We start from the raw sequence: 18,589 nt of genomic DNA on the forward strand, positions 1-18,589 counted from the left end.
GATTCTAACTTTTACTAAGTTACTAATTTACTGGTGGCCTTGCACAAATCACCTTCCATTGTCATTGAATAAGTCACCATTCATTGAGCCCCAAGCACTGGGCAAAAGTGTGTTAGGCAGAGGGCACAAGGCAGGCATAGCCAGACTCCCACAGAGCTTTGGGTCATCTACCTCTGCCCTAATGTGCTAACCTGCAAAACGGTGCTAATACTATCTACCTCATTTCCCACAAGCTATTTAGAGATTAGCTGGGGAGATGCTCTTGGCAGTATGGCCATACCTCCTCCCTCAGGGCCCCCAATCCTCAGTTTCTCTTTCTGTAGTTTGTTAACCTTGGTCAACTGTGGTTCAAAAATGTTAAAGGGAAAATTCCAGAACTAAGCAATTCCTAGGTTTTAAATTGCATGCCATTCTGAGCAGCGTGATGGACTCTCATGCCATCTCACTTCGTCCCGCCAGGGACATGAATCCTCCTTTTGTCCAGTGGATCCATGCTGTCCGTGCTCCCCGTCCGCCAGTCACTCAGGAGCTGCCTTGGTGCTCAGACCGACTGTCGTGGCACCACAGGGCTTGTGTTCAAGTCACCCTTATTTGACTCTTGTGCCCCAAGGCACAAGAGTAGTGATGCTGGCAATCTGGATATGCCAAAGAGAAGCCATGAAGTCCTTCCTTTAAGTGAAAAAGCAGAAGTTCTCTACTTAATAAGGAAAAGAAAAGCTCAAATACCAAGGTTGCCAAGAATGCATTCTATAGTAAGAATTCTATAGTAAGAATGAATGGTAAGAATACTATTGATTAGTAAGAATTACTATTCAATAGTAGGAATTTTTATTCTATAGTTAGAATTCTTACTATTCAATAGTAATAATAAGAATTACTAATATCGAATAGAATTACTATTCGATAGTAATCATTATTATTCTGTAGTTCGAATTCTTACTATTCATTCTATAGTCTCAGGCATTATCCCATTTGGGAAGTCCACGCCACCTCTGTACCTCTGACATGGTTACCGAACCTTACAAACTGTATTCTTAGTACTTGCTTATCTAGCATGGTACTCAGCCAGGCTTTGGGCCATTAAAGGCAAGATCCTGGTCTTAGTTAACTTTGTAACCCAACTAGGTGCCAGTGGTGTTCCCGGCCCACACTAGTGCTCGTAAAGTGTTTGTGGAAATGAACTGAAGGCACTTAGGAAATTATACAGTACAAAGCATGTGAAGGTGGTATTAATGAGGACATCTCAGTGTGGTGTCTTGACTCCCTGGGTATGGCCAGGTGTTATTGTTGGACAACAGATTGTGATATTTTTGTGTTAGCGATGCTGGTTAGTGCATGACATACACCCACCCACCCACACCCCTCCTTCCTGAATTTTTTTTTTTTTTTTTTTTTTTTTTGAGACGGAGTCTCGCTCTGTCGCCCAGGCTGGAGTGCAGTGGCGGGATCTCGGCTCACTGCAAGCTCCGCCTCCCGGGTTCACGCCATTCTCCTGCCTCAGCCTCCCAAGTAGCTGGGACTACAGGCGCCCGCCACTACGCCCGGCTAATTTTTTGTATTTTTAGTAGAGACGGGGTTTCACCGTTTTAGCCGGGATGGTCTCGATCTCCTGACCTCGTGATCCGCCCGCCTTGGCCTCCCAAAGTGCTGGGATTACAGGCGTGAGCCACCGCGCCCAGCCCTTCCTGAATTTATATACGACATGTGAGATCATATCCAGCTGTTTAGACACACACACAATTAGGTGATTTTAACTGTGCTTCTCTGAGCTACACCCATCCCTTGTTGCTTAACTGTAAAAATGTTTATTTAATTTCTACTTGCAACAACTCATGTATATGGGGCTTCTGTTCTGCTGGAAGCTCTGGATCCTGTGGCGTGGGGATGCCGTCACAGACTTCACAGTCTGATAGAGGAGGCAGCTGATATAAGTGCCACCTCCATATGTCAAGCTGCATGTCAGATGGTACGCTGGGACTAGTTGATTCTCTGTGACTTGCCGCAAAAGTTCCTTGCCACAGTAATCCCTTGTTTCCCAAGGGTGATGTAGATCATCCTATGTGACAGTAACAATAGGCTAAAAACAGCCAAAGGACTTGAAAGCGCTTTTTTTTCCCATTTTTTTTTCCTAGAGTGACTGAATAATGAGGGCAAAATGGGTGTCAGTGGGCATGAAATGAATGAATGCCATTTGCACCAACCTGTTTTAGATGAGGAGGGTGGGACCTGGTGAGGAGTGACCACTGGGTGAGCATTCTGTGTCAATGGATTTCCAGCTCACATTGGCAGCGATTTGTACATTATTTCATCCCATTCCTGTGTGATCCATCTGAAAAGCCGCGAGACAGAGGGACACACATTCATTTTGGTGTCAAAGATCTGGGCTTCAGTCCCAGTTCGGCCACATACTAGCTGTGTGGTCTTGGGCAGGTTTGCTCTCTGGGCCTCTGTCCTGCTCTGTAAAGCAGGATTCACAATAGTGACCTTGTCCTTTGGAGGAAGTAGGAGGTGAAGTCCCTGGGCCCAGCTCAGCGTCCACAGCAAACTCCTATCAGGCCTGATCACCCTGGTGTGAACATTAACCCAGAACTAGCTTACTTACTTGCTCTGCCAAGAAGCAAGAGTTCTGGGTTGGTCTGAACTACTCTTTGGAAAAACTACTTTTGGCAGATTTCAAACCAGTTCCTAAAATTTCCATGTATTACATTTAGATTAAAGAGGAAAAAACAACCCCAAGATGTTCTTTAATTATCAATAAGACACACATTGAAAATTCTACACGGATGGCATGAGGCCGGGCGTGGTGGCTCGCACCTATAATCCCAGCATTTTGGGAGGCAGAGGTGGGTGGATCGCTTGAGGTCAGGAGTTCGAGACCAGCCTGGCCAACATAAGTGAGACCCCATCTCTACTAAAAATACAAAAAATTAGCCGGGTGCGGTGGTGCACGTCTGTAATCCCAGCTACTCAGGAGGCTGAGGCAGGAAAATCTCTTGAACCTGGGAGGTGGAGGTTGCAGTGAGCCAAGGTCACACCACTGTACTCCAGCCTGGGTGATGGTCAAGACTCCCATCTCAAAAAAAAAAAAAAAAAAAAAGGGGTGGTATACAAGTGCAGAGAAAGGGGTTATTATTTCACCTAGGTGTTAAATGAATAGCACAGTAAGAAAAAATATTTTTACCTAAACGGTTTCAGCCACAGGCTAAATCTGGACAAGGGCCACCACTATGTTTTTCTTAAAGATACACTCACACTCTGACTTAACCCTTTGATACCGTGGCAGCATGGTGCAGACTGACTGCAGTTGTCTTTGGGGCGTGTCTTCCTGCTTCACAGTAACTGCTTTCACTGCTTTGAGTAAACTTGGCCTCTGCACCTCTGTCTGGTTATTGGCTGGATGTGGAAAGGGCCGGTTGTGTCGGCCGAGCCCATTTTCCCTTCGGTGGTGTTGTAAATGCTTTCTGTAGCCTGTCCAGACTGTTTTGCTCAAACCTGTTCTTGACTTTTCTGCTGGTCTGCTGCTGTGGTTGGGGGTTGCAGACGCTCCCACCCCCCCATATCCTTCCCAAGGTTGGACTCTCGGCCTATGGAGGGCTGCTGATGAGGCCCGTGGATCCTTCTCAAATCCAGTTTCTATATCCTTATTGGAAAATGTTCCAGCCCCGTAGGTCCACACAAGCTGAAGGGATGTGCCTCACAGTTCAGAAGCCTTCAGGCAAGGTCAACAGAAACACGACGGGAATCCAGACAGTGTATGTCCCCTCACCCTGCAGGCGCAGCCGCGGACCTCAGGCCTTTGCCTTCCCACCGAGGACTGCAGGACGTGCTGGGTTCCTGGGGCCTCTGATCCTGGGCCTTGTCCAGTGATGTCTGACTGCTGTCTACTCACTTTTGGTTAACCTGCAGTACACCTCATATCCTGTTTCAAAATGAAATTGGAAGGTGGGGCTCCCTCAGGGGCAGCAAAGCTACAGCTTCAAGGCCAGACACGGATACTTAAAAAAATCTTCTAAAATTGTGGTAGAGTACACATAACATACAATTTATCATCTTCACCATTTGCAAGGGCTCAGTTGGGCAGCATTACATACAGGCACATTGTTCGACCTCCAGAACTTTTTCACGCTGCAGAACGGAAACTCTGTATCCATTTACATTTTTAACTGGTTGAAGATGGAAAAAGAAGGCTATTTTGGGGACATGTGAAAATGACATGAAATTCACATTTCAGTGTCCAGAGATGAAATTTTATTGACTAAAGTCCTGCCCATTTGTTTTGGGGTTGCCTGTGGGGGCTCTTGTGCCACAGCAGCAGAGTCAAGACCAAGTGGACCACAAAGCTGAAATTTGTGCTGTCTGGCCCTTTGCAGAAAAAGGTTGCCGTTGCCTGGAATAAATAGGTTTGCATGTATGGAGGATTCAGCTGAAGATAAGGCCATGGGGTTGGGTCAGCAGGAAGAGATACTGGCCAGCAGAAACCTCTTCCCACTCCCCAAAGCACATCTACGCTGACTAAAGATTCTGTTTCTCCCTTCTCTTTTATTTTTTGAGATGGAGTCTCGCTCTGTCACCCAGGCTGGAGTGCAGTGGCGCGATCTCAGCTCACTGCAACCTCCACCTCCTGGGTTCAAATGATTCTCCTGCGTCAGCCTCCTGAGTACCTGGGATTACAGGCGCCCACCAACACGCCCGGCTAATTTTTGTATTTTTAGTAGAGACAGGGTTTCATCATGTTGGCCAGGATGGTCTCGAACTTCTGACCTCAAGTGATCCTCTTGCCTTGGCTTGCCAAAGTGCTGGGATTACAGGTGTGAGCTACTGCATCTGGCCTTTCCCTTCTTTGTGTGTGTGTGTGTGTGTGTGTGTGTGTGTGTGTGTGTGTATACAGCTTCCCAAGTAGCTGAGACTACAGGTATGTGCCACCACGCTCGGCTAATTTTTATTTATTTTTATTTTTTTATTTTTATTTTTATTTGTAGAAACGAGGTTTCGCCATATTCCCCAGGCTGGTCTTGAACTCCTGGGCTCAAGGGATACTCCTGCCTTGGCCTCCCAAAGTTCTGGGATTACAGGCATGAGCCATCATGCCCAGCCTCTCCCTTCTGGTAGCTGAGTTAAGGGACTCTGTGGATGGCTTTATTGTGCAGCTATAGTATTTAATAAATATTGGTAATTTACTGGCTTTGTTTTAATATTAAAATTATGGTAAAATGAACTGCCCTGACCCTTGATATGCTTGTTTCTACCCTACCTTCCCTCAGTCAGTCAACCTCATCTAAATATATCTCCCTGCAGTTCTAATGGTGATCTTTCTAGGTGAATGTCATGAGCTGCTTTTTGATGCTCTTTCATTATCTGTGAAAAAGGATAAAAGTAGTTAAGTGGATAACTTAAGTATAAACAAAATCTTCATGGATTCTTTTAGCAGGAAAATGAGCTTGAATTGAGTGGTCATTTCTGTTCATTAAGTTCAGATTTTGAGGCCCTCCCCGCCAAGATGATTCTAGTTACTAGTGCTTACATTCGTGTACTGTGTTCTAAGCCATTTGGCATCTCAACAGACTCATCCACAGCAGCCCTATGAAATTGATGGGGCAGATATTTCTATTTGCTTTTGGCAAATGAGGACATGAGGCTCATGAGGGGCCTGTCAGGCCCAGAAACACTGAACCTTGTCCCACTCTTGGGTCAACATAATATTTAGCTTTCAGTGACTGCTCATTCTTGACCTTGTTGTTTGTCAAGGAAGGGGTTGGGGAAGAGAAAATTTAATTTGTTACTATTTTTCTTAACTACTGGGACTATATTGCCTGAGTGAGTGGTCGGGGGGTGTCAGCGAAGATGTTGGTTCAGGTAAGAATAAAATTCAGTTGTTATTTATTTAAGACTTACCATGGGCTGGGCCCAGTGGCTCACGCCTGTAATTCCAGCACTTTGGAAGGCCGAGGTGGGTGGATCACTTTGAGTTCAGGAGTTTGAGACGGGCCTGAGCAACATGTCTCTACTAAAAATACAAAATTAGCCGGGCTTGGTAGTGCACGCCTGTAGTCCCAACTACTTGGGAGGCTGAGGCCAGAGAATCACTTGAACCTGAGAGGCGGAGGTTGCAGTGAGCTGAGATCACTGAATCTAACTGAAAGGCTTTTGAGAATAGGTAATTTTATAGAAGGAGAAATGCAGTACATAAAATTGGCTTTATGTTTATCTTGAATACCAAGAAAATTGTTTTTCTTGGGTAAATTTAGGTGATTTTCCAGTGGTGCTTTCTTGCACATTTGACCATAGAAGAACATGTGTTAAGCCCATCCCTTCTCATTTGGTCAAGGTCCATCCTTGGTCTCTATGACAGTTGAATGAAGATTGAGCTGTTCACACATCCTCAGTAATATACAAGTAGTATATCCGTCAAAAGGGTTTTGTGCTTATTTTCCAAGAGCTCTCGGTGCTCTAAATTCTTTATATGAACATGTAAGATTGCACATCTGGTTTTAAATGTGGACATGGGCATTGTAGGGTCCTGGTTTTTAAACTATTCATGACTTACAATGCCTCAGCGTATCTTCCTTGGGAGAATTCATTTTGTTGAATGCTCATCCTGAGGACGCAGCTCCCTTCCTAGAAATGAGGTAGCTCCTGGCACCTTGAGAGTTCCTCTGTGTGCAGGAAACCGATGAGTTTGCAGATACCAGCTTCATGATAGCCTGACTGAAACTTGTTGAGGAGCAATGCAGGATGGTGAATATTTTCATGATCTAGATCAGTTAACTCATCCTGCACATGGCTAACTTTATGTCATGAGAACAGATTTCTTAGCCTGAGAATTGGGACAACTTAGAAATTGGGAAACTAAGCATGTATATCTTTTAATTTTTTTCTTTTCTCTCTTCTCTTCTAAATGGAACATTCACGCAAGGCAGTGTACAGAGATGGTGTGGTATACTGCAGAGAGCAGGGGCCCCGAGGGCAGGCCAGGGTACGAGTCTAGATGCCACCCTCTGAGCCATCGTTTCTTCACGGTTTTACATTGCTGTCCTCTGAATCAGAAATCATGATGTAAGACGAGGCGAATTGCAGTTGTGTGAGCTCTCTTTTCATGAAGACGATTATACATTTTGCTGATGTCTCAATAATTTCCCAAGTCAGGATGACAGAAGAGCTGAAAGCAGCCTACTTAGGATTATTCAAGGAAATGAAAGAACTGTTTCCTTCATTCATAAACACCTGAGAGTCTGCTCTGGCTTAGACACTACGCTAGTTGTTGAGAAACAACTCAACAAATTAGGCCGAGAATCTGCCCTAATGAAATCTAGAGTTTGGAAGAGAGAACACATCTACAAACCAGCACACGGTGACGACTTTTTTCCAAGGACCCACTTGGCGTCATTTGCTAAATGCTCCTCTTAACGGTGGTGAGTCTTATCTCCTCTTACATTGACAGTACTGACAAGTATACATATATATATTTTTAAATTTTACTTTAAGTTCTGGGATACATGTGTAGAACGTGCAGGTTTGTTACATAGGTATACATGTGCCATGGTGGTTTGCTGCACCCATCAACCCGTCATCTAGGTTTTAAGCCCCACATGCATTAGGTATTTGTCCTAATGCTGTCCCTGCCCTTTCTCCCCACCCCTCGACAGGCCCCAGTATGTGATATTCCCCTCCCTGGGTCCATGTGTTCTCATTGTTCAGCTCCCACTTATGAGTGAGAACGTGTGGTGTTTGGTTTTCTGTTCCTGTGTTAGTTTGCTGAGAATGATGGTTTCCAGCTTCATCCATGTCCCTGCAAAGGGCATGAACTCATTCTCTTTTAAGGCTGCATAGTATTTATGGTGTATATGTGCCACATTTTCTTTATCTAATCTATCACTGATTTGATAGACTGTATATCAGTATATCACTGATTTGGGTTGCTTCCAAATCTTTGCTATTGTAAATAGTGCTGCAATAAATGTACGTGTGCATGCTTCCTTATCATAGAATGATTTATAATCCTTTGGGTTTATACCCAGTAATGGAATTGCTGGGTCAAATGGTATTTCTAGTTCTAGATCCTTGAGGAATCGCCATACTGTCTCAAAATACATTTTTTTTTCTTTTTCTTTTTGAGGTGTAGTCTCGCTCTGTCTCCCAGGCTAGAGTGCAGTGGTGCGATCTTGGCTCACTGCAACCTGTACCTCCTGGGTTCAAGTGATTCTCCTGCCTCAGCCTCCCAAGTACCTGGGATTATAGGCGCCTCCCACCACGCCAGTCTAGTTTTTGTATTTTTAGTAGAGATGGAGTTTCACCATGTTGGCCAGGCTTGCCTTGAACTCCTGAGCTCAGGTGATCCGCCCACCTCACCCTCCCAAAGTGCTGGGATTACAGGTGTGAGCCACCTCTCCTGGCCAAAATACATATTTTTTAAGTACCTCAAAATAGCCCTTTTGCACGCTAATGGAAAGCCCAACAGTCATTATGATAGAGAATAATCTTCAGTAAAAGATAAGGAGGAAATTTTAATTTGGGAACCCGTTCGTGAAATGCATACCCTTCTGTTTTCCCTCTGACTTCCTTGTCCTTTGTGTTTAGGAGCTTAAGGGATCCTTCTGTTTAAGTCACTAGGGGCTCAATATTAACGTGCAGATATGTGGGGAAAATGTCACTTGTTTGGTTGCAGTTTTGCCAGCTCTAAAATCAGTTGGTAGTGGCTGCCTGGAGTATCTTGTCCTGAAAGATTGGGAGTTTGAATTGAGGATCAAAGGGGGTGTCAGAGATTAGTGATGTCTTCTGTCAGGAGGGCTGGTTGCCATGGTTGCTACCCTGGCTTGAGCTCCTATCAGCTCACATTTCAGAGATGATTAGTGAGGATTATAAGGATTGGGCTCAGAGTGGGGCCATGGGGCAGAAAGAAGACACTGGCTGAACTATTCTGAACTCTTAATGGGCACCCAAAACAAGTATGTTCAATTTTGTCAAAAGCTAGAAGGGCCCTGGCCACACTTGTGTTAATGGAAAAACCAGACTCCATAAAATATTCTAAAGAGGTATATTCTGAGCGAGTATGAGAGACTGGGAAACGTAGTCTGAAGAGGTCCTGAGAAAGTGCGCCCAAGGTGGTTGGGTTACAGTTTGGTTTTGTATATTTCAGGGAGACAGGAGTGCAGGTGAAGACATGAATCAATACAAGGTTAGTATGCGTTGGTTTGCCCTGAAAAGGTGGGATATCTTGAGGCAGGGGCTTATAGGTGGATTCAGAGATTCTTCAATGTGTCATTGGTTAAAAGAGTAAAGCTTTGTCTAAAAATGTGGAGTCAGCAGAAAGGAATGTTTAAGATAAGGACGTCTGTTAACCAAGATACTGGGTCAGAGTCACCTGTAGGGATGTGGGACTTAATCCTTGTCTGTTTGGCCTTAGGTCCTTTGATGTCTTGCTGTCACAAAGAGTCTGTTTTGCGAATCTTATGATCTCTAGTTTAACATTAATGCTGGTCAGTTGTGCCTAAACTCCAAAAGGGAGGGGATGTAACGAGGTATGTCTAACCTCCCTTCCCATCCTGGCCAGGAATTCAGTTCTTAAGGTTCTTCTGAGGTCCCGTTAGCCAAGAGGCGTTTGTTCAGTTGGTGGAGGGCTTAGGAATTTCTTTTTAGTTTACACTGAAATGAGCTGTGCAAGGCCTGGGGCCTCATCTCTCTAACTTCTTGTCCACGGAAGCATCTGGCACAGTGGGCATTCAGTAAGCGTTTGTTGAAGTAACAGTGATGAAAATCATATTCTGTTGATAACATAGCTCGTGTGAAGCAGCAAATGCTATTTTGTGTGTAGAGAAATAGAAGGTCAGAGCCCACAATGAACTAAGCTCTGTGAGGGCCTCCAGGGAGACCTCCAAGAAGTTCAAGGTCACACAGTAGCGGGCCCAGCAGAGCAGGGATTTGAACCTAGGTTTGCCTCATAACAAAGCTCATCTTCTTTCCCCCACAAAAGGAAGTGTGAGAATGATGGCGGTCAATGACAGACTTAGCCACTTATAATCAGTTTTTGTTTAAAAATGACAACACCATGGTTTGACCTGGGTAGGGAGGAAGAAATGGAGTTTGCTAGGTCTGGCTGTTGACTGTGGTTGCTTCTGAGGGGACAGACTTTTCAGGGCAACCACCCTCTCCACCAGCATACAGAGATTGCTTTTTTAATCTAGGATTGCTTTTCTCGTCATACTTTGTCCCTATTCAGATGTACCTGTAGGCCTGGTTATTTTGTCTGTGTGATTGTTAGAGGAAAAAAGTGAAAAGATTTGAAAAATGATCAAGAAGAGCACGAGATATCCCCAGGTTATACAGAGAGATTCCCTGGAGGCTTTGTTGGCGCACAGGGCCATGCTTGGTTTAGAAAAGGCAGCGCGGGGCAGCGTGGGGCTCCTCCGGTTTCTCTTTGTCTGAAATGCTGAGTTTCACAGGCTCCTTACTGAGTTCAGATTTCCCTGGGGCAGAAGAGACTGAGGGAGGAAGGAAGGTTGCCGTTTATTTCATTGATTAATGGCAACAACTGCAATTACTTTTGCACCAACCTAATATTTCTACGATAATAGTTTTTTTTTTAACACAGCAAAAATCAGGGATTGAAAGTTTGAAACCTGAGCTTTTAGGCAAACTCCTCCCCTAAAAGTAAACAATGAGATAAACAGCAGCCTTTTAATGGAAAAAACTGCAATTACTTTTGCTCCAACCTAATAATTTACTTTCTGAAATCCTCCCCAGCAGACTTCCTAAAATCAAAGTGACCGGATGGTCCCATTGAGAGGATTTCAGTCTAAACATAAAACACTAGTAAACGATTACTAACCAGCTCCCAAGTTGGTGACCATCAAAAATCTCACATATTAAAAGCTGGTACCAGTATCCTTCAAGTAAGTGAAAACCTCCTTTAATATGTTAGGGTTTTATCTGGACATCAGGTAAATTTTGTATTCAGATCAGATCACTTTATTCTCAAGGTTTTAATTTAGGTCAGATAATAGATGCTTGGCTATAACACTATCTGTTTGTTCCTAAAGTAATATGATTGTATTAAAAAGTGTTCTTCAGCCATGCAATACTGTATTCATCTTGCCATCCTTGAGTGAGTCAGTGAATTATCTTGTGATACAGGACTGCATTTATCTGACAGATATCTTTTGAAAGTAACATGATATCTGTGAGAGGTCTGAGGCTGTGATTTCACTTTGGTTTTCTGTATGTGATTCTGTAATAAGTTAATGCCTTAACTTAAACTCTAATGTTACAGAATATCGTAAACACGAACAGATGAATTCAGATTCCTTTTCAAAAGTAGATTTGACACACTGAGCTATTTATGCATGGAATACATGATGTCAGAGATTTGCTTCCACATAGAATAGGTGGCAGTGAATGTGGGTAAGGAGAGAGAGAGAGAGAGAGAGAGAGAGAGATAATATTTATATATTTTTATATATATTCATATATATATATGTAGGTGAAACAGGATTGGCCATGAGTTGATGATTGTTGAAGTTAGGTAATGATTTGGTAAATATTTTAAAATATTTTATGAATTTTTAATAGGTTTAATTGTGTTTTCCTAAAGGCAAAATCTGACAAGCTTCTAGGGAGGAGATTGGCAGAATAGAGTAATTCCTAACATTGTTAGAGTTTGAAAGGAAATGGTCCCCCCACTTCTTTTCTCTTTCTCTCTTTTTTTTTTTTTTTTTTGCATCTCTGAAAGACTGAGCTGAACGATTGTGACAATTAGTTAGTATATAAAATGTCCCACTTTCCTGGTGAGTGGTTGACATTGGTGGCTAAGCAATTTCAGGCATGAGAAGAGAATAAACCTTTACTGATTAATGGTTGACTTGTGACCTCCTGGTCACTTTCTGGGCTGGCAGCAGCATGATTTGTGTAACATTTAAACATAGTTGAGAATCATAAAATATTCTTTTCATGCATTGATTTCTTAATGCATTTTTGAAGTGTTTTCATTAAGACTGGAAAAATTATGATCTGTGTGTGAAACTGACAAAGGTCGGCGGGGGTATGATGGATGTCATTATGGAAAGTCCTAAGTGATCATGGAAATCCCTTCTTCCTTTTTCTGAGGCATACAGGCAGATGGAATTCTGCCTTGTTTCATGTTGACATCTCTGCATGTTCATTCTGAGAGGCTCACAGGATGGCTGGCCTGGCTATCCCTGAGGGCTCATGGCCTGTCCCCAGAGGAATTAAGCATAGCTGAAGGCTAGCCTTCCCTCTATTGATGTAATTGATGAAATGAGGAAGCAAGATGCTAAGAACAAGACCCATTTCTCAATTATTGAGTGTTGTAGAGTCTCTGAAAAAGATATTTAGAAGCACCAGAGCCTGCTAATTTTGCCTGGGGTTTAGGATTTATATATAACCAATGAGACAGAGCAAGAATTCCCTTTTGGGCAATATGGTCTACTCTGCCCTGTTTATGGAGTTGTTGATTCATAATATTATGGCATAACAGTTGAAAAAAAGCAAAACACAAGATTATAGGTAAGACTTGATTACAAAAGCTATGTGATGATTTTGTACTGGTACAGACAAAAGAGAGGAGCTAAACAAATGTAAAAATAATTGGGTTAGGGTAGAGGGGATGTGGATAACTTTTTTTCTTGCTTAAAAGCATCTTTATTATTATATTGTTTTTACGTTTGGATTTTGTTTACAAAAGAACCAAAGTAAGTCATCTTCTTGGTATTCAAAAGTTCCAAAGATGGAATTTTCCCATCAGAGTGCGATGGTTTAAATAGAAGTTAGGTTCCTAGGAAGAATAAATGAACCATAATATAATTGCATAGGATGTAGAATATCCATTGCTTTCCCCAAGACCAGAATGATACCTCTCACAGGCAATGCGAGGAGTCCTCCACCCCTGCCACCCACACTGGGTGTGTGACCCAGCAAGGGGGCATGGGTGGGGTGGGAGGAAGGTAAAAAGGGGAAGACCACAATAGCTGTTCATATACAGGATTATTTGCTATTCTGTTCTTAAAGATTGCTTGATATTTTGTTTTGATTGCAAAAGGTGATTGATATGAAAATGTCAACATTTCAAACACAAGTATTCGTTTTGTTCAAAATGTTTGTTAGATCAAATCAGAATATGATCCCAGAACATGTCTGAGCTCTTGGATCTGCTCTAGAAAAATACACACACACACACACACACACACACACACACACACACACCCCATATGTATATATTAGAAGCAGGGAGTGGCTCTGTCACCCAGGCTGGAGTGCAGTGGCATGTGTGGTCATAGCTCACTGTAACTTTGAACTCCTGGGCTCAAGTGGTCCTCTGGCCATGGCCTCGCGTGTAGCTGGGACTGCAGACACACACCACCTTGCCTGGCTAATTTTTATTTTTATTTATTTATATATTTTCTGTAGAAACAGGATCTTGCTTTGTTGCCCAGGTTGGTCTTGAACTCCTGGCCTTAGGTGATCCTCCTGCCTCAGCCTCCCAAAGTGCTGGTTTTATACCATGCCTGGCTTTAGAAAGAAATATATTAATTAACATCTACAAAGAGATGATCCATGTCCACATAATTGGTTCTGCTTATTCAACAAGCCGTTTTTCAGTGCTGAGACTTCCTCTGAGGAGGTATGGGTGGTGGCGCTGGGAAAGGGGTGAGGCCTTCTGGGAGACCTTCGGGGACGCCACCTTGAGGGTGGAGTCCTGTGCTAGTGGCAGAGCACTGTTTAGAGTCAGCCGAGTGAGTCTCAGTTCCCTGGGCTTGTTTTATGCATGCGGCGCCTGTTTCAGGTTCTCAAGAAACATGGTATTCAGTTCATTGAGAGCACTGGTTCTTCATGCCAGCTGCCTATTAGAATCATCTAGAAATCTCTTGGAAAACATGGATGCTCAACTTCCACCCCCCAGAAATTCTGATTCAATTGGTTGGGCGGGGGCCTAGGCATTGTTATTTCTGAAAAGCTTTCCAGGTGATTCTATTGTGCAGCGAGGGTCAAAATCTGGTGATCTGTTATTTAACAAGCTATTGTTTTAAATGGTCAAAATCTGGTGATCTGTTATTTAACAAGCTATTGTTTTAAATGGTCAAAATCTGGTGATCTGTTATTTAACAAGCTATTGTTTTAAATGGAGCTTAAGGGGAAGTATTACTGTGACTATTCAAAAGAGCTGTGTTTTCTTCTACCGGTCCACAGTGAGACTTTAATATCCAGGGTGTGTGTATGAGTGAGTGAGTGTGTGTGTGTGTGTGTATGTTCTGTGTGTCTTTGTGTTGTGTGTGAGTGTATGTGTGAGAACATGTTGTATGTGTGTGTTGTGTGTGTATGTGTATATTTTGTGAATGTGTGTATGTATGTGTGTGTGTGTGAGAGTATACTGCAAGTGTGTGTATATGTGTGTGAGTGTGAATGCGAGAGTATATTGTGTTTAAGTGCGTGTTTGTGTGCACGTTGCATATGTGTGTGAGTGTGCTTGTGTGAGCATTGTGTATATGTGTGAGAATGTGTGTGAGACAGTGTTGCAAGTGTGTGAGTGAGTGTGTTGTGTAACTCACCAGATGACCCTAATGTGCAAACAGGGTTGAGATCCAGAGCTGTGTCTGAGTGTTGTCTGTGTCCTCCCTGGAGAACATCCTTCGTTTTCTGGTTCGGAGTGTATATTGATTGGCATAATAACCACTACTCATCAGTAAACCTGTGTAAAGACCCATAAGACCTGCTAGCTGGGAAAATGGTAGATTTTTCACTTCTTCACTTCTACATTTCTACCTTGTGGTTTCATGGACTATGTCATAAATTTATTAATATTAATTATGAACACTTATGAAGGTGTTTTGATACCTGCTGTGACGAGGCTGCATTGTTTTTCTTATCATTTTAATGTTATTTATTTATTTATTTATTTTGAGACAGAGTCTCCCTCTGTTGCCCAGGCTGGAGTGCAGTGGTGCGATCTCGGCTCACTGCAACCTCCGCCTCCCGGGTTCATGCCATTCTCCTGCCTCAGCCTCCTGAGTAGCTGGGACTACAGGCACCTGCCACCACGCCCTGCTAATTTTTTTTTTTTTTTTGTATTTTTAGTAGAAATGGGGTTTCACTGTGTTGGCCAGGATGGTCTTGATCTCCTGACCTCGTTATCTGCCCGCCTCGGCCTCCCAAAGTGCTGGGATTACAGGCGTGAGCCAACGTGCCCGGCCCATTTTAATGTTTTTTAATCCAGATAGGCAGCATGCTAAATAAATAGTAAATTTCTAAGTACAATAGAAAAAATTGCTCATGAAATGTGCCAGTATTAACATTTATTTCTTCCATTACATTACTTTGAAAATTTTGTAGATTCAAGAGAATGTTGAAGTGGTGGTTACTTTTGTTTTCCACATTGATTCTCTTCACTGAGAATGTTGAAATAATAATGATTGTGAAGTGAAATTTCTTTTTATTAATGCAATTAAAAATTTGCTCCCCCTTGCATATGCCATTTGAAACAAATTCCACACATATTACAGTTTTACAGCAGTGCTGAATGGTGGAACTGCTGTGATGATGGAAATGTTCTGGGCTTCTGCTGTTTCAGTAGCCACTGGAAATGTGGTTCTGGATTGACTGAGCAACTGAATTCTTAATTGTATTTAATTTTAATTAACTTACTAGCCACATGTGGCTAGTGCCCGCCCCAGTGGGCAGAGCACGTGCAGAGGCTGGTTCTGTTCGGCTTGAGAGGAGCTTGGGTGGGGCCCCTGCAGCAGAGTGACAGCTGCCCCAGGGGATGTCAGGGACATCACCATTGCATATACCCTGGTAGGTGGGTTGTCTTCTGAAATCCTGTGCCTTGCTACTGTTACTCGTAGAGGCTTGGACAAGAATCAGTGATCCCAAGAAAGGATGTAGGATGTGGCTTTGTGGGGTATGACGTAGCTCAGATTGAAGACTTGTGGCCCCGGTACCAGGCGACGCCCCCCCTCTGTCTTCCGGGTCTCCCCCACGTTCTCCGCTGTCTGACCCTGATGTGCCCAGCACCTTTCTCAGGTGTTTTCAGCCTCTCCCTTGCTCCTGGCTCCTCCCAGGGGGAGGTAACCATTGCCACATCAGTGCCCCTGTGCCCTCCCCTGCATGCCCTGCTCCCAGCCATGCATGTCGCCTCCATTTCCTCTCTGCCTGCAGTGCCCGTGGCTCCCCTCCATGACCTCAATGCTGACTATTCTTTTGAGGAAATCCTTCTTTAACACACAAATCAGCTGGCGTCACTTCTGCTTAAAAACCAGCAGTGGCTTCCCCTAGAAAACAGCCTCCTGGGTGTGCTTCCGGGGTCTCCGGGATCAATTCCCCCATGCCCTCCCCCTCCACACCCAGCATCAGCTGGTTTTCCAGCCCAGCCCCGAGCCCCCACGGGAAATGGCCCGAGCTGGTGCAGCCTCAGCTTTCAGGCCTCGGCGGCTGCTCTCATGCCTTCCTGAGCAGTTCTGCCAGGCTTCATCCCAGGCTCACTCTTTCCTCATGTCTTGGCCGAGAAGACCCTTCTTTAGGTGTCCTTCCCATGTGCTCCCCGCTCACCCCAGCTCTCTGTCTGCTCCTGTCTGTGTCCCTGTTGAATCCGTATAGCTGCACAGAGCCTGGCCGGACACCCGGTGTACTGTCAGCACCCACGACTGTGGTAAACGAGCAACTTGAACAAGTTCATCATGTAACCCAAACCCTGGGGGGTTTCTGTTCACAGACACTTCTTCAAATCCTAAGTTTGACAAATTAATGAATTTTTCCAGAAAACTCAACTGCCTGGACTTCATCCCTCAACTTCTTTACTGATCGTTTACTCAATTCCATTGACTCCATTTTTATTCTTCATTTTACAAAAGCACGATCGTATTCTTTCTCTGGATGTTATTAGCCCACTTATTTAGGGCCCATGGTAGTTTAATCAGAGAAAATAGATGGCTGGGTTCGTTCTGAGAAAAGCAAAAATACAGAGAGGGATGTTTTTGTTAGGAGTGAATTTTTAAATTTACACCTAACATGATTAATGTAATCCTAATCTGTTACTACTTAATGCAATTAAAACTTTTTTGGACAATTATGTATTATAAATAGTAAAAGCAAAAATATATTTATTAATAATGGCTAGTTATAAAGTTTATTTCAGGTTGGGCTCAGTGGCTCATGCCTGTAATCCCAGCACTTTGAAAGGCCGAGGTGGGCAGATCATGAGGTCAGGAGTTGGAGACTAGCCTGGCCAACATGGTAAAGCCTGTCTCTACTAAAAATGCAAAAATTAGCTGGGTGTGGTGGCACGCACCTGTAATCTCAGCTGAGTAGGAGGCTGAGGCAGGGGAATTGCTTGATCCCAGGAGGCGGAGGTTGCAGTGAGCCGGTTGCAGTGAGCTGAGATCGTGCCACTGTTCTCCAGCCTGGGCAACAGAGCAAGACTCTGTCTTGGAGGGAAAAAAAAAAAAGTTCCTTTCAGCAAGCTTGTTTAAGAAGGCATAGCTTTTTAGTGGCTCTTGTATGTCTATTCATTTCCATCCTCTTTAATCACAGTGCAGTTATTTGCACCTGGCCTGGATCTCCTTATTGCCCTCCTGTCAGGGAATCTGTATTCACTACAGTCCACATTCACTCCATGTCTCTACCTTCCCATACAACAAGCACAAGAAAGTCACTAAAAGTGGAGCATCAAAATGCTTTTACCTCTAGCTAATTTTAAAGGTAAAATGAAAATGTACTAACTGCAAACAAGAAATCTGCTCCATGGTCAACATTAATGATGAGTCTTTGGCATTTGACAATACAGGGGAGTGATATTCCTCAGCTGTTATGAACTGCGAGGCCCTCTGATTATTCCAAGAATTATCTGGTACCCTTGATTCTGGTTAATAGTAAGTTACCCAGCTAATTTTCTGTTAACTGAAATTTGGACTTCAGCTGTTATTTGGAGGGCACGCATCTTACTGCCTCAACTTCTTTTAAGGCAGATGTGAAATTCTAATGTGGGGTCCGTGGGGCATGAACCTCTGAATGCATCACTTGGCAGAAATCCTCTGCCCATCAGCCGAGTACTTTACTCCTTAGTTCCTCATTCAAAACATGATGAGGCCGGGCGCAGTGGCTCACGCCTATAATCTCAATGCTTTGGGAGGCCTAGGTGGGCGGATCACTTGAGCTCAGCAGTTCCAGACCACCCTGGGCAAAATGGTGAAACCCTGTCTCTAAAAAAATGGAAAAATTAGCCAGGCATGGTGGTGTGTGCCTGTGGTTCCAGTTACTTGGGAGGCTGAGGTGGAAGGGTCACCTGAGCATAGGGACCTGTGATCACAGCACTGTACTTCAGCCTGGGGGACAGAGTGGGACCCTGTCTCAAAAAAGGAAAAAACAAAAAACAAAAACCCCATGATTAACAAACTCAATTAACCTACACAGGCTTAGTTATTGTTCCTAGGACATAGAAGGTTGGAAAGAGATAGAGCAAAGTGAGCTGTGAGAATTGATAGCAGAGGCTCTGACTCTACAAAAGTAAATAGTAACTCAAAAGTTGACAGGCTTAGAATACTATAGTAAAAATAGTAATAATAATGGATGTTTGATAAATGGTCTAAGA

General features: G+C 43.6%; 1 protein-coding gene across 2 annotated transcripts in view, besides 1 other annotated feature; it reads left to right on the forward strand.

Moving 5' to 3' along the window:
• FARP1 (FERM, ARH/RhoGEF and pleckstrin domain protein 1) overlaps positions 1-18,589 on the forward strand; it is a 312,588-nt gene that overhangs the window by 121,349 nt on the left and 172,650 nt on the right. The window lies entirely within an intron of this gene.
• Positions 16,132-16,181: an enhancer, noted in NCBI's record as "active region_7898". NCBI's record gives its function as "activates an Ori minimal core promoter by ATAC-STARR-seq in GM12878 lymphoblastoid cells {active_cell/tissue: GM12878}" and the evidence as "EXISTENCE:reporter gene assay evidence [ECO:0000049][PMID:35858748]".

This window comes from Homo sapiens, chromosome 13 (assembly GCF_000001405.40).
Source record: "Homo sapiens chromosome 13, GRCh38.p14 Primary Assembly".
NCBI classification, from domain to species: domain Eukaryota; kingdom Metazoa; phylum Chordata; class Mammalia; order Primates; family Hominidae; genus Homo; species Homo sapiens.